Below are 26698 nucleotides of genomic sequence, written 5' to 3'. Positions count from 1 at the left end.
TTGTCCAGTTTCCCCTGTGCCTATTTGTTACAAATGTTTCAGATAATTTTTTCACTTGTTAATGCTCCTTTTGTTTGAGATCATGAACTAGCTCACAGATTTTTTCTTTTTTTTTCTTGTGTCAATAGACTGTTTACTGCAATTTTTCGAAAAGTGAAGCCCTTAGTAGAGTTCCCATGCACCGCCTCCCCCTCAGCCTCCCGTACTGTTACCATCTTGCCTTAGTGTGGTACACGTCTGACAGGTGATGAGCCAGCATTGACACATTGTTATTGAATGAAGTGCACAGTTTACACGAGGCTTCCCTTTGTGTTGAACATGCTGTGGGTTTGGACGCATGCATCCTGACAAGTCTCCAGCATTGTAGTATCCACAGAGGAGTTTCACGGCTCTAAACATCCTCTGTGCTCTGCCTATTCATCCCTCCCCCTGTTCCCTTTCACCCTGCCAACCCTGATCTTTTTACTGTCTCCATAGTTTTGCCTTTTCCAGAATGTCCTAGAGCTGGGAATCATATAGCGTGCGGCCTTTTCAGGCTGGCTTCTTTCTTTCTTTCGTTTTGTTTGTTTGTTTGTTTTTTGAGACGGAGTCTCACTCTGTTGCCCAGGCTGGAGTGCAGTGGTACAATCTTGGCTCACTGCAACCTCCGCCTTCCCAGGTTCAAGCAATTCTCCTGCTTCAGGCTCCTGAGTAGCTGGGATTACAGGTGCCCACCACCATGCCTGGCTAATTTTTGTATTTTTAGTAGAGATGGGCTTTCACTATGTTGGCTAGGCTGGTCTTGAATTCCTGACTTCAAGTGATCTGCCCCCCTCGGCCTCCCAAAGTATTGGGATTACAGGCATGAGCCACTGCACCTGGCCAGGCTGGCTTCTTTCTTATGCATTTTTATGCATTTAAGTTTCTTCCATGTCTCTTGAGAAAACATTTTATGGAAGTAAAACCTACATGCAGATATGTGCACCAATGATACTTGTCAGTGCACCAAATTTTCACAGCGTGAATCCACCCATGTAATCAGTCCCAGACTCAGTGGCAATCAGTGGCCAGCCCTGGGAAGGCCTCATGTGCACTCCCATCACCCCCATTTCTTCTCACTAGAGGTGTCCACTCTGGTGGTCACCACGGTTTTTCCTGTTTGTTCATCTTTCTGTGTCTGGCTTCTTTCACTCAGCGTTGTATCTGTGAGATTCATTGGTGCCATTGGGCATGGTCGTAGGTGGCTCCTTTTCACTGCTGTCTACTACTCCATGGCAAGCCTCTCCCTTGACTTTTTATCCATTCTATTGCTGATGGGCATTTGAATAGTGTCTAGTTCAGAGCTATTATAAATCGCGTTAGACCTGACTACGGGGGAGTGCAGGCATACAACTACTTTCGACCCACCAACATGGCAATTCCACATGACTCATCTAATACGTGTTTTTTGGTGAGCACATGCCCACATTTCTGTTGGGTGAGAGCAGGTTTCGACGACATCATTTTGCAGTGAGGATGTGGCGAGGGGCTGGCTGCCACCATGCAGGCACTCTTATCTGTGCATCTATGAATGATACATAATTTGGCATCTCTTGAACTATGAGGCAGACTAAGGGCGGGCTTTGGCTTAAAAATAGTTTTTCATTCTTTATGTCTATTGTCTTGGTTAATCTTTGAGTGTTATGAGGTATGTGAGTGGGACTTCAATGCCTGTCTTGATCAAGGAGGTTCTGGGGAACCCCAGATGTTTGCCCCCATACCCCTCCCCTTGTCCTCAGCTTATGTTTGGCTGTGGCTGGGTGCAGTGGCTCATGCCTGTAATCCCAGCACTTTGGGAGGCTGAGGTGGGCAAATCACTTGAGGTCAGGAGTTTGAGACCAGTCTGTCCAACATGATGAAACCCTGTCTCTACTAAAAATACAAAAATTAGCCAGGCGTGATGGCTCACGCCTATAATCCCAGCACTTTGGGAGGCTGAGGTGGGCAGATGACTTGGGGTCAGGAGTTTGAGACCAGCCTGGCTAACATGGTGAAACCCTGTCTCTACCAAAAATACACAAATTAGCTGGCTGTGGTGGTGCACACTTGTAGTCCCAGCTACTTGGGAGGCTGAGGTGGGAGAACTGCTTGAACCTGGGAGGTGGAGGCTGTAGTGAGCTGAGATTGCACCACTGCACTCCAGCCTGGGTGACAGAGTGAGACCCTGTCTCAAAAAAAAAAAAAAAAAAGAAAGAAAGAATATTGGGGGGCCCTGCTCCTCACCTGGTTATTTCATGGTCCAGCTTTGAGAGTTCTGTCACTTGATTTTCAATTTGATGAAGAAGCCATCAGGATGTGGAAGCTCTGGATTCCCCTTCACACCCAGAACCATTCTCTCTAACGACCCAGCTGGAGACATTGCTGCCTCCCACAAAGAGATGAGAAAGGGTGTCTTGGCAATAACATGTAACTGCTGTTGATTGAGCACCTGCCTGGAATGTGCTGTATCCATACCTGGATATGAGCACGTATTCTAGGCACCATGCTGAGGATGGTTGAGCCAGGTGGTTGGACTCTGCAGCCCACGTGCTTAGCTGTACCTTTCACAGGTTCTCAAAGCTTATGAAAGGGCAGCTGGGACTTTCTCAGATGACATTCTAGCTTCTCATTGGTCAGTTTCTCATAATGGTGGTTGCATTTTCTAATTCTTCTGAAGACCTTAAAATTGTTCTTAGCATTTGCTCCCCTATTCTGAAGATGCAGCCTCTTGGAAGTTAGAGGGAAGGTGCAGGCATCCCACATGGCCTTCGGGTGGATCAGATTTTTTTTTTTCACCTCTTTTAGGTTCAGTGTTGGGTGTGATTCCCAAAGACTGCTGTGTACCTTGAGGGGCTTCCCTCAGGGTCTTCCTGTTGGCGGGTTCCTGCCCCTCTCAGCTCCTGGAGTCAGCGGTGTGTAGGGGACCTCCATCTATTTCACTCTGCACTTGGCTGAGCCCTTTCAGCCCCGTTATCTCAGTCGATTGAATCTTTTCTGCGGAAGTCCATGCAGCTGCAATGATCCCTCCAGCCTCTTGCCCAAGTTCACTGCTGGCCTTGGCACTTCTGTGTGTTCACACACTCCTAGTGTTCTTCATCCTTTCACGTGAACTAATTGTGTTTGGCTGAAGGAAGATAAACACATCCAAGAACCTCAAGGATTTAAAATTGGCCAGATTATTAAGGGCTCAATCTCATAATATTTTTGGCATAAGTATACACTTAAAATTAATTTTGGTTGAATATCCCACTGGTAAAATCTGGACTTATCCATTGCATTAAATATAATCTAACTGGATATGTTAAGTATCCTTTAAGTGAGTATTTAGTGAAATGTGCTGATAGCATGCTGGCAGGGGTGGGAATACAGAGATGAACTACAGCTGGGTCTTGCGGTCAAGTTGCTCACAGACTGATGAGTATATTCCATCCATGGGGTGCTCACTATATGCAAATCCCCATGCTGAGACCCTACCTGTGTTAGTGCCAAGCTCAGTCCCATTATTTTCTAATTTTATAGGTGTTGAAGAAAGTGAGCCTTTTTGTGTTGGCATTGATGGTAAAAACCATTTCTTCCACATCATTTTCTGCCAACAATTGCTTTTTCTTTCTTTTGGGCTATGTTGTTAGGATAGATCTCTCCAAATGGAGTTATATGGCCATGGCAACATCTTTTTTTTTAAATATTTACAATTGTTTTGCAAATGTCATAAATATTTAAAAAAAACTTTTTAAAAACTTTTAGGTTTAGGGTACATGTGTAGCTTCATTATATAGGCAAGTTGCATGTCATGCGCGTTTGCTGTAAAGATTATTTCACCACCCAGGTAATAAGCATAATATCTGAGAGGTAGTTTTTCGATCCTCTCCCTCCTCTCACCCTCTACCCTCACATAGGCCCCAGTATCTATTGATCCCTTCTTTTTGTCCATACATACTCAATATTTATCTCCTACTTATAAGTGAGAACATGTGGTATTTGATTTTCTGTTCCTGTGTTAGTTTGCTTAGGATAATGGCCTCCAGCTCCATCCATGTTGCTGCAAAGGACATGATCTTGTTCTTTATTATGGCTGCACAGTATTCCATGGTGTGTATATACCACATTTTCTTTATCCAGTCTACTGCTGATGGACACTTAGATTGATTCTGTGACTTTGCTATTGTGAATAATGCTGTGATGAACACACGTGTGCATACGTCCTTCCTGTAGAATGATTTATATTCCTTTGGGTATATACCCCATTATGGGATTGCTGGGTTGGATGGTAGTTCTGCCTTAAGTTCTTTGAGAAATTGCTGCACTTCTTTCCACAGTGGCGGAACTATACGGCCCCACCAGCAGTGTGTGAGCATTCCCTTTTCTCCCAACCTCAAGAGATCCACCCACCTCGGCCTCCCAGAGTGCTGGGATTACAGGCGTGAGCCACCATGCCCGGCCGACAGGTTCCTGTTTAACAGAGTTGCTGGTCCACCCTGGCCAGCTGAACTAGAAGGTCACTAATTTGTCTGTAGTGACTCGGCTTGTGTTGCTCACAAAGCCTCGGCTCCCCTTTTCTCAGGGACAGTTTCTGGCATGTTGTCTAAACCTTCCTGGTGTCTCTCTTGAGTTTTGGCTTGCCATTGCTCATCTGTGGAGTTACCAGTGGGATGGTGGGTGACTGTCGTAAATGATGTATTCATTTACTGAAATTTGATTGTGTCTGCCGGGTGCTCGGTTCAGTGGTGGGGCAGGCAATGCAGGGGTGAGTGCAGTCAACGTGGCTCCTTACTCCGAGTGCCCAATCTCGTGGATGAATCTCAGCAAAGCCTCAGTTGCTCCATTTGCAGAAAGGGCATGGGGTTATTTCCTCGCCTCTCTCCCAAACAAAACCTCTGAAAACACACTGGAAGCCCAAACATTTCAGCCTCCTCATTACCAAAATAATTTTAGGTGTGTTACCAGTTACAAATAGTGCAACCCAAATTAAGTGGCAAGAAATGTATTGGAATAGATGAAATTGTGGGAGGGATTTTGTTTTTCACTTTTACTTTTGAAATGACTATAGCTTCATAGGAAATTACAAAAATAGTACGAAGGATCTCCCGAGCCCTCCCTGCAGCTCTCCCCAGTGGGGGTGTCTTATGTAACTGCTGCAAAATAGCAGCCCCAGGAAATTGACATTGGGACAATACTAGACTCCAGACCTTGTTCAGATTCCACTGGTTTTTACACGCATATGTGTGTGTGTGTGTGTGTGTGTGTGTGTTGCTGTGCTCTTGGTCTCTTGTATAGATCTGTGTAACCACTACCACCATCAGGATACAGGATAATTTAATCACCAGAAAGGAGCTTGCTGGGGCTACACAGGGGAGATTAAAAAAACTGACAAATAGGCTGGGCACGGTGGCTCACGCCTGTAATCCCAGCACTTTGGGAGGCTGAGGCAGGCGGATCACAAGGTCAGGTGTTTGAGACCAGCCTGGCCAACATAGTGAAACCCTGTCTCTATTAAAAATACAAAAAATTAGCCGGACGTGGTGGTGGGCACCTTTAATCCCAGCTACGCGGGAGGCTGAGGCAGGAGAATGGCTTGAACCTGGGAGGCGGAGGTGGCAGTGAGCCAAGATCACGCCATTGCACTCCAGCCCGGGCGACAGTGCGAGACTCTGTCTCAAAAAACAAACAAACAAAAAAACCCCAAAAAACAAAAAAACCGACAAATACAATTTACATATATTTATGGTGGAAAACATGTTTTGAAATTTGTGTACATGGCGAAATGGCTAAATCAAGCTAAGTAACATATATTACCTCACATACTCATTTTTTTTTTTTTTTGGTGAGAACACAATCTACTCTTGTAGCAATTTTCATGTATATGATACATTGTTGTTAACTATAGTTACCATGTTACTTACAATAGCTCTCTTGAACTTATTCTTTCTCTCTTTTTTTTTTTTCTTTTTGAGACAGAGTCTCACTCTGTCGCCCAGGCTGGAGTGCAGTGGCGCGATCTCGGCTCACTGCAAGCTCCACCTCCCAGGTTCACGCCATTCTTCTGCCTCAGCCTCCCGAGTAGCTGGGACTACAGGCGCCTGCCACCATGCCGGGCTAATTTTTTGTATTTTTAGTAGAGATGGGGTTTCACCGTGGTCTCGATCTCCTGACTTTGTGATCTGCCTGCCTCGGCCTCCCAAAGTGCTGGGATTACAGGCGTGAGCCACCGCGCCCGACCTTGAACTTATTCTTTCTATGTAACTGAAATTTTGTATCTTTGACCAAGATTTTCCCAATCTCTTTCCCCCAACCCCAGCCCCTGGTAACCACCATTCCACTCTGTACTTCTATGAGTTCAACTTTTTCAGATTCCACAGATAAGCGAGATCATGCAGAACTTGTCTTTCTATGCAATATTATGTTTATATTTTACTTAACGTAATGACCTCCAGGTTTATTGATGTTGTTGCAAATGATAGCCTGAATAGTATTCTATTGTGTATATACAACCCTACTTTTTCTTTGTCTATCCATCCATGATGAGCACTTAGGTTGATCCTGTATCTTGGCTATTATGAATAGTGTTGCAATAGACATGAGATTGCGGATGTCTCTTCAACATGCCAATTTCATTTCTTTTGGATGTATTCCCTGTGGTAGGATTCCTGGATCATATGATGGTTCTATTTTTAATTGTTTGAGGAATGTCCACACTGTTTTCCGTAGTGGCTATACTAATTTACATTCCCACCAACAGTGTATGAGGGTTCTAAGGGGGGGAGAATTTTGAATGTTAAAAAACGTTACGTGATTAGAAAATGTTTATTATCAGAGAAAGACATCTGATACATGACCTCTGCCAGTCAGAAATGGGGGTGATCTCTTTTTAGTTGTCTGCCAATTGTTGTTGCTTCCTTACTTTAATAACTGTCGTGCTTTTCTTCTAGGGACTTTCTTTAGAAACCTCTTCTCCATGGCTCCTTTCATTTTATTTTCCTAAAATGTCTACTTGCATGTTGACTTGTATATCCATCCCACCTTTCCTGGGCTTGTTTTCAGCAGGTTAGGGCTGAGGGCTTTGTTTCCTCATATCCTCCATGACGGCTAGGACTCTTGGTTGTTCAATAAATGCTTCAGTGAGTCTGTTCCTATGAGGACAATGGGCCCACTGTTGGAGGGTGGAGCGAGCAGGGCTCTGAAGTCAAAACTGCTGGGTTCAATCCCCGTTTCACCTGGTCATGGATGGGAGAGCAATTTGCTCAGCTTTCCTGCACCTTGCCTCATCCTTCTGAAAATGGAGGGAACGTACTTCCTGGTACCCAGCCCTGGGAGGGTGCTCAGAAAAGACTAAGCGGCTTCCTTTGTGTCCAGGGCAGAAGGATCTAGGGCTGCTTGAGGCATGGTTCCCCCAAATCCAGGGGTGCCACCCTCACTGTGTGTTCCTCACAGACTTGGAAGATAGAGAGAAGGACTGTGGGAAACTGGACAGAGCCGATGAGACCATTCCAAAGCAGAGGGGGCCCCGGCTGCGTGATGCACAGATAAGCATTGAGTATCTCAACCTACGGAAATTCTGTGGATGTCTTGCTGTTTGTCTCCTGTCTGCACGATCGATTGTGTCAACAAACAGTGGGCAATTAGCTGCCCTGATTTTCGGAACCGAGCCACCGGGGAGCTGGTTGAACAGTCTCCCACTGCTTTGATTAAAGAGGTGCAGTTGCTGAGCCTTTAGGCCTTATTTCTGAAAAATGGATATGAAAGCCGTGGTTGGAGCTGCTTTTCCTCTTGGGATTTTCACATAAAATCAGAGACTAATCCCTCATCTAATACCAATTTGGTAAGGGCTGGGTTAGAACATAGTCAACTCCACTGATGAACATCGGTTAAGATTTCTTTATAGAAAGCTATACTATTTTCAGAAGCATTTCAGACAAACATCCTAAGAAGACTTAGCAGGCTCAAGATGTTTACCTTGGACCTGAATCTTATTTCTAATTAACCGAGTCTTCAACAGTCCATCAGAGAATGCAGTTACCTGCCAAATTTCACACCTAAGGGGAAAAAATATTCCCAATAAAATTTTCCTTAAAAAAAAAAAATCCACTCACTTTTACCACTAAGACGTTCTCGGCATATTTAAATCAATCATTTTCCACGAACACACAGAAAACTAATGTTCTGGATCCCAAGCCTGTCTTTGTGGGTCGCAGGTTTCCGGGAAGCCATTTTATTTGACGCTAAGTTTTCAGCAGACACTAAGGCAGGATTCAGCAGAGACCCAGGGGTGTGGAGCGTGCGAATGCAGCCCGTCCAAGCTTTCCCAGCTGTGAACGGACATTCCTCTGATACCGCATATTTCGTGGGGGAAAGTTTAAATGATCACATTGTTTTAATTCACCTTACAGAAACAACCGCTAATGGAAAGCCAAGCTTTCCTTTCTCTGTGTTAAAAAAGAAATTGGTTTCATTGAGGGGCTGGGGGTTTCTCTCTCCAGTCCACATCAAGCAGAGTTTAGAGTTTATGTGGAGACATTCGGTTGGGCACGGTGTTTTTTTTTCCTCAGACGTAAGCTTCCTGGGGTTGACCTGTGAGCTCCCTGGGGGTCCCACAATTCTCTGTTTTGTTTACTGCTCTCCACCTCCGTGGTGCTGGGTAGACTCTTGTTGAGCATTTATCCAATAAAAAATGTTAACTGAAGGTGTCACAGCTTGTTTTAGCAACAATTTCCTATAGTTTAGTTATAAAGATTTTACACACACACACACACACACACACGCACATACGGAGAGAGAGAGAGAGAGAAAGCACAAGTTTGGGTATTGTCATGGACCAGCCAGTAGAAGCAGTCTTTTTCCTTTTACCTTTTAGGTTGGCCTGAAAAAACAAAAACAAAACTACTCATGTCAGTGATTTAAATTCCTGAGTCTCTCACATGGTTTGGTGGAATCAGGCACGTTGAAGAAGGAGGGCATGATACTCGAGAAAGAACCCTCAGCTTCGCAGCTTCCAAGCTGTGTGGCCGTTGAGAAGTTGCTTGCCCTCTCTGGGGCTTAGGCTCCTCATCTGAGAAATGGTGGAGCTGGAGTTGGTGCTCAGGGGTTTTCCAGTGCTGACATCCTGAGCGCAGAGGGATAAAGTGTACACAGGCTCAAGGTTAAGAATTAGAGATGTGCTTTGCTGCCTTTGTGTGGTGGTTAACCACCAGAGTAAGACAGGAGGTTTACGATGACAACTTTGTGATTTTCTAAAGGACTGGCCATTAACGAACATATTGGATTTCTTTTGCCAGCTTTTTTATGTGTGTGTGCATGGGGGAGTTCTTTTTGTAATTACTTTTGAGTTTTCCTTGCATTTGGCTATCTAGAATTGAGGGATTTTGTCACTTATTTTGGTTTGAGATCTGAGATAACAAGTATTTATTTTTCATATTTATTCTTTATCCATTTTCAGAAAAAAATGAAAATGTTTTACTTAAAAATACAAGGCATAAAAAGCATTAACCCAGAATAAAAGGCAAGTGAGAAGAGAGTAAAGTGGCAAAGACAGAAACTACATTAAAACATCTAGACTGAGGAGGCTGGGTGCGGTGGCTCATGCCTGTAATCCCAGCACTTTGGGAGGCTGAGGCGGGTGGATCATGAGGTCAGGAGTTTGAGACCAGCCTGGCTAACATGGTGAAACCCTGTCTCTACTAAAAATACAAAAATTAGCCCAGCGTGGTGGCGTGCATCTGTAATCCCAGCTACTTCGGAGGCTGAGGCAGGAGAATTGCTTGAACCTGGGAGGTGGAGGTTGCAGTGAGCTGAGATCGCGCCATTGCACTCCAGCCTGGGTGACAAGAGCAAGACTCTGTCACAAAAACAAAAAAAAAAACAACAACAAAACAAAACAAAACAAAACAAACTGAGGAAAGCTATAGCAATTAAAGACAAAATTTAGCTTTGCGCTTCCTAGCAGCCAAAGCAAAGAGTAAAAGTAGGAAAATGTTGCTCTTGACATTAAATGCAGGGAAGCAAAAATCCAGAAGAGGGTGATAGTCTTGGGTTGCTTCACCAATTGAGAGCCCTCAATAGTTCCTGGAACCTTCTCGCTCCCAGTGTGAAAGGAATATTTTTGTGGCAGTTCAGAATCTTTTGCTAAAGTTCAAATGCAAGAGGCTGAAAGTTGTTGACCTAGGTAGTCATTTCTTGACCTAGGTAGTCATTTCTTGACCTAGGTAGTCAAGAAACGTTAAAATTTGCTGCCAAAAGTGTAGATGATGTTTGTTCCAGGAATTAAGAGTTGATAAAAACAAGCTTTACTAAGAGAGGGCTCAGGAGACGGGGAAGCAAAAAAACTCTGTGGGCAAAGAGGCCTTGATTTGAGTGGCAGCTCTGCGGATCATCTTTGTGTCGTAGGGTCAGCCCTGCAGCCGCTGTGAGCCTCAGCTTCTTCATATGCAAAATAAGAAAGTTCAACCACGCTCCTTTGAGATCTCAAATAGGACGATTCTATGCATGGGTCTATAATGAGCATCAGAAGGGAGCTTTTTGTTGTTGTTGTTCTCTGCAAACAGACTTGCTGAGGACACAACCCCCATATAGCAGCGACCGCCTTCAGACCTTTGTGTCCTGCTCCCTAGAAAGTAAAATGGCCTACTTTTTATACCTCTTGAAAGAAAAGTGATCTTTTCTCATCATGTGGAATTTCCCAACTGAATCACATTTCTGTGATCCGAGGTGCACACACTTGGCTGCAGGTGAAATAACCCCATGTATTCTCAGGCCCCAACACAGCGATCCCAAGCCTGGAAGCTTGCAAAGATACTTCTCCAAGAAACTGTCCCTGGGCAGAAACGTTGCCACTTTCATTGGGGGAAAAATGGTTTCAAATATTGGCTTTTGTTTTTATGGAAAATGGTGAAAAATTTGAGGGAAAACCACAAAATCCTTTGCTTTTATTGAAACCACAAAAATTGATTAAATTTTTATTCTAAAAAAACTGTTTTTTTGCTGAGCACTGAACTTTCTTCTTTGAAAGGCTCTACTTTCCTTTCCTTTTTTTTTTTTTTTTTTTTTTGGAAATATCTCCTGAGAGCCTAATGAAAGGTCTTTCTGTTAGCTTGGCTGAGCCGAGCCCAGGCGTTCCGAAGCTCAAAACAGAAGTGTAGTTTTTGTGCCCAAACACAGCCTTGTGGGGATGTCTTCATGCACAGACCTCCAGACGCTGCTGAACTCTTCCCAAGCCCCCAGTGGGGCAGGAGCCTGTGAGGCTGTGAGCATTGCCTGGACAGCACCTGGGGCACTCACTATTGATGGCAACCTCAACCAAATCGGCTGGTTTGTCTTGTTGGGCATTGCCGCTGCCTCCTGAATAAATGGAAAACCATGTGCACAGTTTCTGCCTTCGCTAGCGAGGGCCTCGCAAGCTGACTTCATGAATTAATTGGTCCCCTGCCTGGTGGCTGGCTCGGACTGTCCCTGGGCAGGAGACAAGCTGTCTGTCCAGGGTGAAATCTGTCTTTCACTGCGTCCACAGTGGACACATCGCTAGCTCAGCCAGGGCACTGCTATATTCACAAGACATTTAATCTTTCTTAATAAAGGAAGCTGGAAGTTCTTCTGTGCCACGGGAGAGGGAGTTGGTTTCTGGCCACCAGAACAGATTTGGTCTTAAGGCAAGTTGGGAGGTGCAGGAACCAGAGGCCTCTTGGGTATCTTTGTGGAGTGTGGGGGGTCTAAATCAGCTCAGAGGCAGTCATTCAGACCTGGTGTGCAGAAGGGCCTGTTCGTGACCCAGAGGTCTCCATCTGTGTAGTGTTCCATCTACCCTGTCTCTATTTACTGATGTGTACTTTACCAAAGGGACCTTCCATTCCCGGCGCCAGACCCTTGGGCATTTGTTCCAATTGCTCACCGTCTCCTCCTGGCAGGTTCATTTGTCCTTCTGGGTTGTGGCTTCCCCTTCTGTGAAATGGGGATCATGAGAGCCCCTGCCACGTAGATTTATTGTGAGAGGTGAATGGAGCCATGGCCGGCATGTAGTAAGTATTATGTGCTATTATTTTAATGTTCTAGAAATCATTATTCCTACCCTTCCTGTTGAATCCAAGTTTTATTTTATTTTACAACTGAAAAGACAGCAAAGCAATAAAATTCAAGACAGATTTGAAGAAATAATTATCAATAATCTCCTACTATCCTGGTGCAACAATCAGATTGAACTTTTGCATTTTGCCTTAATACCGTTACTACCAATCAAGATCACCATAGTGTTGGAGTAAGTGCCATCGAGTGAGAGCTCCAGGTAAGCCTGGTAGCACGCAGCCCACTCACTGGCCCCGATGCTGGGAGATGTTCACTCCCTTTCCAGATGAGAGACCAAAGGTTTGGAAAGTTGAGCCAACCCAATGTCAACAGGCAGAGGTTGCAAGAATGTGATCCCTGATTTCAAGCTCTCCTTGTTTAACCACAATGCTACACAACTTCTGTTCCTCGTATAAGAGTTTTAAACGAATTGGGTTGCATTGTTTACAAGAAAAATCAGGGAGTTTGAGTCTGAAGCATTATTCTGATGTCTTCAAAGGAGGTGCAGAGCTGGAGAAGATTCAGTCCCTTGTCCCTCTAGGAAAATCTTTCAATCTCACGGAGGTCCAGCGGGAACAGAGCCAAGAGCACACCAGCTCTGGTGGATGTCTGTCCCCCGGCCAGCCCTGCGCGCACTGGCCCCCGACGCCATATCCAGAGCCCATGTCCAAAGTCCAGGAAAACGCCCCAGACTGCTTCCCTCCTTTTCCTTCTCGAGGTCACAAACACTGAAATGATCCACGGATACTGGATCTTTCCACAAAAGCTCACCCCTTCCCCATTCTGTCCTGGATTATTATTTTTCAAAACACAGCCTGCCCATTTGTCCGGGTAAGAAGAGTGCCTTTACAGGCAAAAACTACTCTCCTGTTGGCTGACCTGTCATTTCATTCACTTTTGAATTTAATGTAAATATTGCACGATCACGGGCTTGGGCGCAGTTCAGAGCAAATCTCTCTTTTGCTTCCTTATCTGATTATCTTTCAAGAAAACACGTCATTGTTCAGATTCAAGAATAACAAGTTTCCCCACAGCCAGCTCCTCACCTCTTCATTTTTGTCTGTCCTGCTTAGAATCCTATAATTACAGAAACATGTCTGTCAGCGATTTGTGCATCTGATAATCAGATTTTCTCTCGTTCCCAGCTCTTCCTCCATCCTCACCCCACCCCAGCCCATTCTGCCACATCTGGAGCAGTCCCCTGCCACTCCATGCCCAACTGACTCCTCAACTGTTTCCAGATCACATCTGTCTTTCCCGGTACCGGCTTCCTGACACGCTGGATCATAAATGAGTCAGACCCTAAATTCTGGTCATCTTGAATTCCTCTCTCGATAGACGATAACTGTGGAACAGAGCTATTGCCTCATTTCTTCTGGTCTGGTTTGGCCATGCTAAACTATACAGCTTTCAAAAGGTAAAATCAAGGCTCTTATGCAAGTATCAAATGGACACATTTAAGAGATTTTACATACATCATTTATAAGTGATTGACACATGAAAGCTGACTCAAAGGATGTGAAGCACAGGCATGAGGAAATCAGGAAGAACCAAAATGAATTCCTGAATAGGCACACACCTAGTTTATGCCTCTAGGGCTGAAGATGTAATGCTTGGAACCAAGTTTTCTACAGGGTGAATTAATTGTATCTCCATAGGGCAGACGTAATTTGGATTCCTAGGGGTGAGACTCATGCGTGTTACTCTCTGTGTTCTATAATGTCCAGAGTGGCTGACCAGCCTGCTCCAGCAGCGCACAGCTCTGCAGAACCAGATGACCCCGCAGGGCTTGCTAGACAATTCTCAGCATTCCAATTCATATCACTGGAATCAATAAAATTAACTGATTGAAATATCCACCGATACTTGATTCGATATCATTGGAATAAATAAAATTAATTGATTGAAGAATCCTTTGATACTTGATCGAATATTATCCGAATCAACAAAATTAATAAAATTAATTGATATTAATTGAGAAATCATTCCAATTGATATCCAATAACCTTTTTTTTGCCCACTTCAAACTGTTTTATAATTTTTCTTCACAGTCATTTTCTGTTTAAATCTATTCTGAGTATTCAGTTGAAAGAACCGCAGTTTCCAAACCTCATTTTAGGAGAAGCTTAGGAGAACACAGGCAGGCAAGGGGGGTGGGAGGGAAGTCACTCGTTCCAGGTAAAAAATGACACTTTTGCTCAGGAATTTGCTGGCTCAAAACCTTCCATTGTCCCCTCCTCCTTGCATGATAATTTCAGATTCTTCGCATGGCATTTAAGCTTCTCCACAACCTGGACGTGATATGTGTTTGATCCTCAAATACATTTGTTAAAATAATACTGGCAATGGCAAAACTTAAAGATTATGAAACCACATGAAATGAAGAGTAAAAGGCTCCCTCACTTCTGAAATCTCAGCCTGGACACAAGAAAAAAGAATAACTGGTTAATAATCATTTATTCTTGACTGAGGGTTGACTTGAAGTTTATCTGAAAATCAACTTAATGCATTTCATACAAACACCCATTTCTTCCCAGAAGGAAGTTGTGAATGACATCAGTTCTTTCCCAGGCCAGGTTTGGGGCAATTTTCCATTGTTCTCTCTAGAAAATTTCTGATGTATAAAATCATATTTATGTTTACATCTGTACTTACATAGTTTAATACATAAATAATATCATTCTACTTGTACCATTTTTTTCAATACTTTTAAAAAATGTTAACAACGGATCCTGAGTATTGTTAGTTATAAAATATATTTAATATATCTTAGAGCTTTCTCTGTATCAGCACAGACAAAGCTACTCATTCTGGAATACAGAATATTCCACTGTTTAGAGGTTCTTTAATTTATTTATTCCTCACAAATTCTTCCAGCCTAATCTCCAACTATACGGTTTCTCCCATTGAAGCCAGATAAATTCATCGGCTTTCCTTAAAAACACCTCATCCAGGCCCGGCACTGTGCTCTTGCCTGCAATCCCAGCACTTTGGGAAGCCAAGGCAGGCGGATCACTTGAGGTCAGTAGTTTGAGACCAGGCTGGCCAACATGGTGAAACTTCATCTCTACTAAAAACACAAAATAATTAGCCAGGCATGGTGGTGTGTGCCTGTAATCCCAGGTACTTGGGAGGCTGAGGCAGGAGAATTGCTTGAACCTGGGAGGTGGAGGTTGCAGTTAGCAGAGATCACACCACTGCACTCTAGCCTGGGTGACAGAGCGAGACTTTGTCTCACAAAAACCAAAACCAAAACCAAAAAAAAAAAAACCCACCTTATCCATTCCTGTGAATCTATCTTTCCATCCAATATTATTCTGCCTAATAGTAACATTCAAGATGCAGGCTCTGTTACGAGCCCCAAGTTCCTGCGTTGAAGCCCTGACCCCAGTGCGATGGTATTAGGAGCTGGGGCCTTTGGGAGGCGATTAGGCTTAGATGAGATTATGAGGGCGGGGCCTTATAAGATACGCTAATCATGGGATTAGTTTCCTTATATCACAAGGACAAGACCAACACTTAATCTTTGTCTGTCTGGGGAGGTCACAGGGAGAAGGTAGCTTTCTGCAGGTCAGGCAGAAAGCCCTCATCAGGAGCCAAATCTGCTGGCACCTTGATCTTGGACTCTACAGTCTCCAGAACTATGAGAAATAATTCCTGTTGAAGTCACCCAAGCCATGGTATTTTGTTGTGGCAATTCAAGCTGACTACGACCAGCACCAGCCAAGTGGAACGGAATGACTGGCATGGGTGTGGCTCTGCTGGTGGAGACTGGAGTCCTGCCTCTGCCTGGCATACCCGCCCTACTCAGGTGTCTAAGTCGTCTGTCCCAGCCCAGCTGAATGTAGATTTTCCTTAGGAAGCCATCCGTGATGATATTTGTTAAAGTATAGTGTTACAATTAAAACCATGACTCCACACAATTAGAAAATAAAAACATGCCAGAGACTGATGGACTAACTCATTGGTCAGGGAGATGATGTGATGGCAGGACTGGAAACAGTAAGATGGCAAGGTGCATTCAGGAACAGGGGTTTATAGATTCCATCGGGAAAGGCTTTTGGATTACTGTGTGATAAGATTAGCTACAAAGCTAGTTAATGTTATATGGGGCAATAAACAATAACCTCTGGCCGGGCACGGTGGCTCACGCTTGTAATCCCAGCACTTTGGGAGGCTGAGGCAGGCAGATCACCTGAGGTCAGGAGTTCAAGACCAGCCTGGCCAACATGGTGAAACCCTGTCTCTACTAAAAATACAAAAATTAGCCGGGCGTGGTGGCGGGTGCCTGTAATCCCAGCTACACAGGAGGCCGAGGCAGGAGAATCACTTGAACCAGGGAGGCGGAGGTTGCAATGAGCAGAGATCGCACCACTGCATTCCAGCCTGGGTAACAAGAACAAGACTCCATCTCAAAACAAAAACAAAAACAAAAACAAAAAACAATAACCTCTGGGGTTGTTTTTTCTCCCAACCAGGTTCGTTTGCATCGCTACCCACACAAAACTCATGCTCATTTCTGTCAGTGTCTTTCAAGTTAGGTGCCTCCCTTCCAAGAAGAGGGGCTTCCCTCAAGGGAGGAATAACTGGACACCAGTGCCTCCACCTCTCCTGCCAAGAGACAGGCTTCTCAAACAGCCTTTGGAAGCCCCCCCACCCGCCCACTTCCTTCAGAGTGCTAGATCCAGAGTCCCAGCACCTGCCTGGCCAGCCCCTGGGGGTCCCTCCCCTGCCCGGGTGCAGCTGGAGGTGTGGGAGGGGCTGAGGCTCAGGTCTGTGGCTGCCCGGCTCTGAGGTTGGGGTCCTTCCCTGAGCAGAGGCAGAGTGAGCTCCATTGTGCCACCTGGGGAATTAGGGTTCCCCCAATACTTGTAGAAAATGTGAGTGTTCTGTAAGTGTTAAGCGGGAGGGTGGCAGGGGTACAGGGTGCCCCCAGGGGACCTGGGGGAGAGGCCCCATGGCCAGGGCAGGGTGAGCACAGCTGGGTCATTCAGGCTCCTCTGGAGCACAGCCACAAGTTTGGACTTGACTGGATGTTGAGCCAGAGCACCATGCACAGACCCACAGCCTGACCTAACTGGGCTGTGTTTTCGGGATGTGTGTGGGGGGGTCATAGGCTGATGTGGTTAAAATGGGGGCTCAGGAGGCTGGTTGTGAGTTCAGAACTAGCTGCACTGCCCCTGGCCACGTGGCTGTGCTGAGGCTCCTCCCCTCTGTACCTTTGCTTCTTTGTCACTGAGATGGGTAAAATGACAGCTCTGATGCCCGGGGTGAGGCCGGGCCAGTCCTTGCCAATGCGCAGTGTGGCAGTACCCGCCAAGTGTACCGTCATTGCCATTGTCTTCACGTGGTCTTCCTCTGAAGACTTAAGGATGCAGATCTCTCCCCAGGCAGAGGGAGGGGCGGCACAGGTTTACCTGGAGCTCGCCGGCCTCTGCGTATGGTCCCTGTGCCAAGTCAGGCCCCGTGTTTCCCTGTAGAGTGCAGGGGATGTTAGCATCCAGTAGGGGAGGTGGCTAAGCATGAGACATTTCTCTATGGCGCCAGCTGCCCAGACCAAAAATGGGAGAGCCAGAGGCAGGACCACAGGGCAAGGCAGGTCTCAGATCCTCTGGAATGGAGTTCCTGGGTGGAGAGCACTGAGCGTGGAGGCATGGGGAGTGAAGCTGAACTCGATGGACCCAGTTGGGCTCGCCTTCCAGGGGACCTGAAAACCGGCAGCTCCTGGAGGCCCCTGCATGCCTGAGTTGCTTCTCTTTTGCAGCCTCCCAGTGGCTGCCTGTGGTCGCTGCGGTAAGGGCTAACTTCCTTCCCGTGGTCTTCACAGCACTGCCAGCCCTCCGCCCCAACCCAGTCTCCCCGGCTGCCCCCATACCTGCCTTGCCCATCCAGGGGCTGCTGCCCACCGGCCTTCCCCACCCTGTATACTGCATGCTGTTGGCCAAGCAGGCCCAGCCTAGGGTCAAGGGCAGGGCCTTGGTCTGTGCTCTGTCCTCTGCCTGGAGGCTCTTTCTCCTTCACCTGCCTGGTTAATGTCTATGCAGTGTTTTGATTTTAACTCCCGGGTCATCCCACCCCCATCTGCACCACAAGTTCTTGGCGTCGGGCACCTTTCTCTCATGGGGCTTCCAGAGGCTGGGATTTCATCTGTGACTACTGCCTCTGTATCTGCCCCTCTCACTGGGATAGCAACATCCCAAGGGCAAAGGCCAGGCCTCCTTCCTTCCTCCTTCCAGGCCTCAGGTCCCCCTCTAGCACCCTGCCTGGCATGTTGTAGGTGCTCAGTGTATTCGTCGACTGACAGGATGAGCAGTGGCTCTAGGAGGAGAAAAGGAGCAGACAGTGACATTTTGTGTGACCCCCTTGGCCATTATTAGTCAGGCTGGGGATAGACATTTGACTCCAGGTTGGCCAACAAATTCTCTCACTTAGAAATTTGGGATTCAGAGACGCTGCTCTCTGGGGGTGACCTGAATGGTGGCACATCATTTGGGGGCCATGCAGCGTTCATATTCCACTATGTGTACTCACGACCCCAGAAAGAGGGTCTGGAGTGGGAGAGAGGCAGGAGATACACACCCAAGAACACGGGACACAGAGGTGAGTGGTCAAGCAGAGGGTGGCAGACAGACAGACAGACAGACCGTGCCTGCCTCACTTCCTGAAGGCCTCTGTCTGCCTGAGGGTCTCGTGAGCTTTCTGGGTCCCCTTACAGCAAAGCCTTCTCCTTGGCCCAAGCCAATTCAAGTCCAAATCTGTCCTCTACAAGTCCGCATCTGTCCCCTGCAACCCTAGGGTACTTTTCCAAGACCCCTGTGCTCCCTCAAGCCAGCTGCTCAGGGAGCAGGCCAGAAGGAGGCCAGAAACCCAGACAGCCTCACGTGTAGCACGAGCTGTCTTCAGCCCCGGTGTGAAACCCTCCCCGCTCCCATGCTCCTAGGCAGCTGGGAGCGAAAGGGGCTCCATTCACCCTGAGCTCCAGAAAAGGATTTGCAGAACTTCATAAAGGGACACAGCAGCCCAAATGGGCAGGGTCTTGACAGGCATTCCACCCAGGGACTTGTGGGCACTCATGGAGCTGTGCAGACCTCCTTCAGTGTCCTGCCAGGGCCAGGACGCCAGGCCGGCCCCAGGAGCTTTTACTGGCACTAACTTTCCATTTAGATCCACGTGACTGCTCCAAGCTTCCCCCCAGGATGGCGCTGGCCCCCCCTCCACATTCACACCTTATAAACGACCATGGTGACCCAGCTGGCGTGCTTTTGGGAGGCAATGCACAGTCCCTGGTAACAGAGTAAATAACTCAGCGACATGTCCTTGCACTTTTTCAGCCTTCCTTCGGTCTCAGAAGAAATAAAACAACTTACTTAATGGCATTCTTTAATCTTCTGCACCAGTGGCTTTCTTTACAAGGTGTTATACAGAGTCCGTGTAAATCCAAACTGTGCAATGGGGTCAGTGTTTCTCAACAGGTGTTGGGTGGGTTTGGGGTAGGAGGTGCTCCCTCCATGGCCTGAACAAATACAGAAGCAGGAGCTTGCTTTCCAGCACCGCTCTCATTTACAAGTGAGAGAGCGGCTTGCAGCCAGCTGCTAGGACCTTTTCTTCCCTCACACCCTATTTCCACTCCAGCTTGATAGAACTCCAGACCGCGGAGAGGGCAGGAGTGGACCTGGGTCTCTGTGACAGTTCAACTAGAGAGCATGAAAAACCTCTGTCTCTCTCACACCCATTTCTCTCTGCTCGCCAACTCAGTTCTGTCTCCAAAACAGCTTCTTCCACATGGGGGCAGAAGTGACTGCACCGGAACCACGCATCTGCCGGCTTCTGCTGGCCTTGCATGGGAGGGACGGCTCCTGCTCCCAACCCTGTGAAAAATCTCAGAGGAAGACTCTGAGTGGATCATGTGGGTCATGTGTCCACTGGACCAATCAACTGTGATCCATGGAGGCAGAGTCACAGGCGAATATGGCGGCCCCTACAAGAAAACGGACTTGGAGAAGGGAGAGAGAAGTGGTTTATATCAAGAGGTGGGGTCATGCCTAGATGCTGGGTGACAAGACAGGAGAGGCCACTGCATGTCCCTAACATAGTCTTGCTCCTCCCTGGACCCCAGGGAGCTTCAGGGTTCCTGGAGCCCACAGCACCTCCAGCTGACAATGAGGGCATGGATGAAGGGGCCAAGGGTGGTAAACGTGTCCCCATCCTTGCCTCAGCCTTCCTGAACTCCATTACTGCCCAGCCGTGCCCACAGTCCAAAGGATTATCCCAGCCTGGGGTCCCAGGATTCTCATTTGTGAGAAAGCCCAGATGTCAACAGGTCCTGATGGGGTGAGTCACCCTGTTGCCCCCTGCACCCCATGTGTGGTCTCTCTGATGCTTACACTGCTGGTCCACATGCTTTCATCTGCAGGGCCCAAATCTCAAAAGATCAGTACAGGAAAACAGTTGTTGTAGGTTTGTCTCAAACTAATTCGGTGGCAAAACTTGACCTGAGCTGATATGAATCTATTTAGATCTTTGTTTATCCCAATTAGTGAGGGATGTTCATATGTCTTCCTGAAGAACTATTAATGCGCTTGATTACAGGTGCTTCTCCAGGCTCTGGTGAGGTGTTAAGGTGTACCTTATTGACTTCTAAAGTCCCCACACTCTAAACTCTGAAACACGTCTGGCCCCAGAGTTTGCAGATAAAGGTTTGTGGAGTGGGTAGAGTCCTGCCTCCTTGGCATAGTGCTGGCAACCTTAGGTGGGGTAACAGAGGAAGCACAGAACAGAGTGGAGCAAAGTGCTCCTCCTCCCGTAAATGTTAGCTGTTAGCATAACATACTTTAGGTTGTTCAGTTTTTGCAGTATCTCCCTGAGGCTTAGTCACTTTACCCATGCAAAAGCTGAGGCTGGGAGAGGTGAAGTAACTTGTCTAAGGCAGCAAAGCTAGGAAGCAGGACCACCATGATGGCTGATTCCAGAACAAAGCACTTCTTAAATCACCATGCAAGAAGTTGCATGGTTGCTAGTCCTTCTTGTGCTCACTGGGATTCATTTGTAGGTGAAACCGTCAAAGGTCATGTAATGGAAGCCAGCGCGTGATGTGCTGGTCTTGTCCTAAGCAATTTATGCACATTACCTAATCCAATTCTTGCTACCCCTCTGTGACGTCGCTGATCTTGTTATTGCCATTTAACAGCAGGGAAACTGAGGCACAGAGAGGGTGAATAACTTGCCCTGGGTTATACAACCAAAAAGCGAGGAAGTCCCCATTAGAGCCCAGGTGGTCTCCCATTTTGCTTGAGGGTCTGCAAGCTTATCCATTCAACTGGGTTGCCTCAGTGTGAGGAGTGAAACACCTGTGTAAATAAGACCTTCCTTCCACACTTCCCCACTGTGCTTCAGCCTTCAGTTTCCAAAGCACTTTCATAGGGTAAGTGCAAGGAGAGGGTGTTGTTCTGTGTTATGGAGGCTCAGACAGGTCGAGTGATTAGCAAGAGGCACACTGACGATGTTGTGTATGTGCCACCCCACACTCTTGGGGGCTGTCTGATCAAGCTGAAGGGACTTAAGAGCAAAGACCTCAAGTTGATAAGAGTGGCCACCAAGGTGATTACAGCACCACATGCACCTGCTGTGTCAGCCTTTGCTCAGTGAAGAGACCCTGGTTTCATGCTGAACAGTGCATGGGAGTGATGTTTAACACATCTCCAGAATAAACCAGTGGCTTAGCATGGAGCATCAACACTGCTAGCATCACGACACAAGAGACCAGAGACTCTTGATGGCAAAGCACACCATGGCTCATGAAGCAACCTTGCCCAAAACCTCAGCCCTGAACCTAACTGGGCCTCCTGATCCAACCACCAATTTTCAGGAAACATGAAGGACAGAAGCACAAGTTAAATGACACTATGATGATGCAGCCAGCTGCACTTAGACTATGGGGAGACCCTGTTGGACAAATGTCCTGGTTTCTTTAACACTTCTCTCTCTCTCCAAATATATATATATATATATATATATATACACACACATATATACACACATATATATACATATATATACACACACATATATATACACACACATATATACACGTATATATATACACACATATATATATACACACACACAGATACATGCACACACACACACACAAACTCACAGAGAGAGAGAGAATGAATAATCCATGTAAGAAAAAGACTTAAAAGTCATATCAAGCTATTATAACTTGGGGCCTTTATTTGGATTCTGATTTGAACTGTTAAAAATAATTCATAATGTTACGAGGGACTGGAAATTAGAACACTGCCTAGAAACTTGATAGCATTAAGAAACTACTGTTATGTTTGAGTGTGACAGTGGCACCGTAATCTGGGTGGATAGCGTAGGGGTGAAACAGGATTGGACAGGAGTTGATCACTGGCAAGGCTGGAAGCTGGGGAGAGGCACACTGGGGTTTGTTACATTGCTGTTTGTATGGTTGCATGTATTTGAATTTTTCCATAAGAAAAAGTAAATAAAGGACTTGTTTACTTGCCTAAAGCAGTACCGCTCTTGGAAATGATTCAAACAATATAAAAGCAAAGTAAAACATTAAAGTGTCTAATTCTTCCAGTTAGTTTCCCTTTCAGGTAACCACTGTCTAAGAGTTTGATGTAAATCCTTCTAGACTTTCTAATGTCTGTATAAACAATCACATACCTTTATACTTTTTTTACACAAATAGGATTATACTACACACATGGATCTGCAATGTGGCTTTTTCTCTGAGCAATGTCATGGCCAATCCTTCATGTTCTAGCTGCATTTCTTTCTTTTTAACTTCACCGTATGCCTTTGTATGGATGTACCATGATTTATTTCACCATTCCCTTTGGGTAAACTTTTAGATTGATTTGAGCCTTTTGCTATTACAAGTCGTGCTTCAGTGAATGTCCTTGCACATATACCTTGGTGCATTTTTGTGAGGATTTGTGTCAAATGTGGTCTTAGAAGGAGAATTGTTCTGTTGGAACATGTGCTGCCAGAATGTCCTCCATAAAATTGTCCTCTCTGATGCTAATGAAGTGGGCTATGTCCCTGCCCAGCCTTAAAAATGTGGTTGAGTTTTCCTCCGATCATGTAAGAAGTACATGCATTTTGAAGGAATTTGGAAAGTACAGAAAAGGAAAGAAGAAAGTAAACACCAGCCAGATTTCCACATGTCATACGTATTGCTGTTCATTGAGATTGTTTCCAAGTATTTGCTATTGGAAGTCATGCTGCAAGAACAGCCTTGTGTATAAATCTTTATCCACATTGTGCTCGTTTCCTTAGGGGCTATTCCGCAGCAGGAATTATTGAGTAAAACCTTTGGGCTAATTTTAGGATACCTGTACTATGCCATCCAAGCAAATACTAGGATGTTTGTATAAGTGGTGACCACCACAAGCAATGCAGTAGAGGGCCTGTCTTTGTATATCTTGTCCAGTGTTCAGTATTACCACCAAACCATTATCTTTTTCTTTATTGCCCATTTGCAATAAAATGTGCTCTTTCACTTTTTCTCCTTCTGATTTGTGATGCTCAATAAAGGCCATAGGTTAATTACTAATATAGTTAGTGACACAGGCTCTGAACTTGGGCTACCTGAGCTCACAACCCAGCTACACCTTGTGGCTCACCTTTTTGGAGCCTCATCTTCTGCAGACTGGGGACATCGTTGTATCTATTATGAAATGAGGCAACCCACATGAAGCACAGGGCCGAGTGTCTGAACACAGGGCAGCCGCTGAATTGTGATGACGCTGATACTGTCTACAAGAAAAACATGAGGTATGGGATTTTGGAGCTTAGGAAATAGCTGAGAAAACAAAACTTAGAAAGATTAGATTAGAGACAGGAGGTTAGGGCTATATGAGCGGTATCTTAAGGTATCTTCATTGGATGGAGATGGGAGAGAGCTCCCTGAGGGCTTCCTGGAAGAAGGGGAAGCTGAGCAGAGTCTTGAAGGGCAAGGACAGGGAGGCAGGGGAATGGAGCCAGCAGAAACAGGATGGATGGGGGCGTGCACGCTCCCCTCCTTCTCTCCTGCCTGTCATTGTTCACGCTGGGCATCCATCACCCTGATGAGGGCCGAGGGGAGAGCTGGGCCAGTGACTAACCACTGCACAGCAGGAATAAAAACACTTGACCCTCTGGTGGGAGGAATTCAGCTGGAGTGGGAAATTTTATTTTGAATAATTAGCTAATATCACTGGGGAGATTTCATAACAAAGACAGAGAAATATGGAAAAGTACTTCGCAGCAGAAAAAAATGAGCATTTCCCCCACCCCAATTCCATTAGCACCGACAGGAATAAAGCTCCTGTATTATACAATGCCTTGGTTTCTCAGAGGAAGCCTGCAGAGTGTGGAGTGCATCTGTAAGGCGTGAAGAATGGGCTCGGCTGACTGCATGGCTGCTCTTCCACTTGGGCTGGGTGGAGGTCCGGGAATGGCAATGTCATCTTGAGAAGCCTCCCAGGAGCTGAATGTGCCCAGAATTGGCGCACGGTGGGGGCAGGAAGAGCTTTGCTGGGAGGAGGCCCAGGGGGTGAGTAGAGTGACGCTCCCCAAGGGCTGGAGGCATTGATAGCGGAGGCTACAGTGGGCGACAGCAGTGGGTTCCTCAGTTCTTCTGACAATTCGGGGCCAGCTCACATGGGTCCAAGAAGCCCTAATGGGCAGAAGAAGGTTGACAAGACCACACGCAGAAATCCTGAGACACAGCTGGTGCTTTCTGAAGATCTGATAAAGAGTGGAGGGTCTGACAGTGAGGGTCCGAGGGAACTTGTGGGTTTGTCTGTAAATTAGGATGTTTTAGGGGTCCACGGTACTGGTTAGGCTGGTCTCGAGTATTTAGTGTGGTTTTGGACAACATCATTATTTGGAGTCTGTAAAATGGGTATCATGATGTCCACCTCACAGATGTGATGGTAAAGAAGGGGACGTATGTCAGGTGCTGTCTGGCCCTCTGTGCTGGGCGACAAGCCATCCCAAAACACAAAGGCTTATAACGACAACCTTGAATTGTGTCTCGTGATTCTGTGAGCCAGTGGGGCTTGGCTGGTGGTTCTCCCACTGTCTGTCTTGGGGTCTCTCATGAGATTGCCGTGAGGTGGTGGCTGTGGCTGTGGCAGGAGTGGCCTCTCTCTCTAGGGATAATCCATGTGGCTGTTCCCTCCAATGGCATGACCTGGATTTCTTGCCTGACTCTCCGAGAGAGGAAGCGACACTGCCAGGTCCTTTTAATACCTGCCGTGGAAGACCCAAAGGTCGCTTCCTCTGCGTTCCATTGGCCAAGCAGGCCCAGCCCAGAGTCAAGGGCAGGGGTGCAATCTCAACTTTCGATGGGTGGCCAGGGGCTCCTGTGTACAGGGTGGGTGGAGTCATTTGGGGTGTTTGGCGATCATCTTGCCCAGGTGCTTTACCCTGGGGCAGACACTCAGATGCAAGGCATCTTACCATGACTGTGGCGAAAAGATTGGATTTTACCACACTTGTTTGAAAATAACCTCTGCCCTGAGGTCCTGGGCCTTCCTTTTGCAGCAGCCATTCCCCAGTGTCTCCCCTCCAGATGTCCTCATAATCCAGCAATTAAGGGGGTAACGCCTGGCATAGCCGGGGAGAGGGCTGCTGAGACCAGTTCCAGTAAGTTCTGATCTGCTACTGCGTGTGGTTATTGAGTATTTTGAATATCACCTGCAGGGCAGTCTCTCTGTATAGTAGCTGCTCAAGTAATGGGAACGTCTTTCATTCCTACTCATGTTGCTATTGTTATTTTAAGACAGGGGTTTAGACATTGCACTTTGGGAACAAAAGAGAATATGCTACCAGCCTCCAGAAATTCTGCACCATTCAGTTTTCCTTTTGGAAAAAGCCCTAGGTGTCAAATAGGAAAATCAACTCTTTTGACTTGATTTTCTACTTGGTCAAGGTAATGAAAGCCCCAAGCTGCAAACTGAGAGTAGGACGATATCAACACAAAAACAACCTCTGTCCTGGCGGTCCCTTGGCTCTCCCTCCCTGACGGCCTGTTCCAGGCAGCCTGCGCGATGGCCCAGATCTGGGCCCCGGCCCAGCCTTCGGCCCCATTTCCTGAGCTTGCTGACTGAGCCGTCTCCTTAGCACTCGGGTGCACATTCCAGGGAATCTTGACGGCGAGGCCCTTTCTCCCAGCCCAATTTCAACAAACACAGGCAGACCACCACAATCCGGCTTGCAACGTGGGGCTGGCACCACAGGCCTTGGCAGTGGGGAACACACATCTCCGGGGCCAGGGCAGCAGATGTGGGCCTTTCAGGCCGCACCACCTCCAGGCAGAGCAGGAGGCCCTGGGGGTGGCCGAGAGGGGAGCAGAGCTACTGGGGGGGCTGCGGCCTCTGCAAAGCGACTCTGGCACTCCTCCCTCACTGGGGCGAAGCCGGTCTGTCAGGGCAGCTCATCGGAATGTCCAAATGCACTCTGCGATTCCCATGGCTGTGGCCCAAAAGCAACCTCCAGGCAGATGGGAAAGTCTGCCTTTTTGTATGAACGTGAAACATTCTTTAAAGACTGCTCATCTTTGTGTCCTGTTTGGAAATTGTCGGAGGCCTGAGAGAATGGAAACCGCCTGTTCCATTAGGGTCCCAGGTCTGGAGTT

At 46.7% G+C, this 26698-nt stretch overlaps 3 annotated features.

Annotated features, from left to right (window-relative positions):
- Window positions 11252-11753: an enhancer, noted in NCBI's record as "H3K4me1 hESC enhancer chr16:87275853-87276354 (GRCh37/hg19 assembly coordinates)". NCBI's record gives its function as "activates a minimal SCP1, AML or CMV promoter by ChIP-STARR-seq in naive H9 embryonic stem cells {active_cell/tissue: H9 hESC(naive)}" and the evidence as "EXISTENCE:reporter gene assay evidence [ECO:0000049][PMID:30033119]".
- Window positions 16697-17396: an enhancer, noted in NCBI's record as "H3K4me1 hESC enhancer chr16:87270210-87270909 (GRCh37/hg19 assembly coordinates)". NCBI's record gives its function as "activates a minimal SCP1, AML or CMV promoter by ChIP-STARR-seq in naive H9 embryonic stem cells {active_cell/tissue: H9 hESC(naive)}" and the evidence as "EXISTENCE:reporter gene assay evidence [ECO:0000049][PMID:30033119]".
- Window positions 17397-18097: an enhancer, noted in NCBI's record as "H3K4me1 hESC enhancer chr16:87269509-87270209 (GRCh37/hg19 assembly coordinates)". NCBI's record gives its function as "activates a minimal SCP1, AML or CMV promoter by ChIP-STARR-seq in naive H9 embryonic stem cells {active_cell/tissue: H9 hESC(naive)}" and the evidence as "EXISTENCE:reporter gene assay evidence [ECO:0000049][PMID:30033119]".

This window comes from Homo sapiens, chromosome 16 (assembly GCF_000001405.40).
Source record: "Homo sapiens chromosome 16, GRCh38.p14 Primary Assembly".
Lineage (NCBI taxonomy): Eukaryota > Metazoa > Chordata > Mammalia > Primates > Hominidae > Homo > Homo sapiens.
The sequence above is the reverse complement of the archived record's forward strand: the minus strand, read 5'-3'. Positions and strand labels throughout refer to the sequence as shown.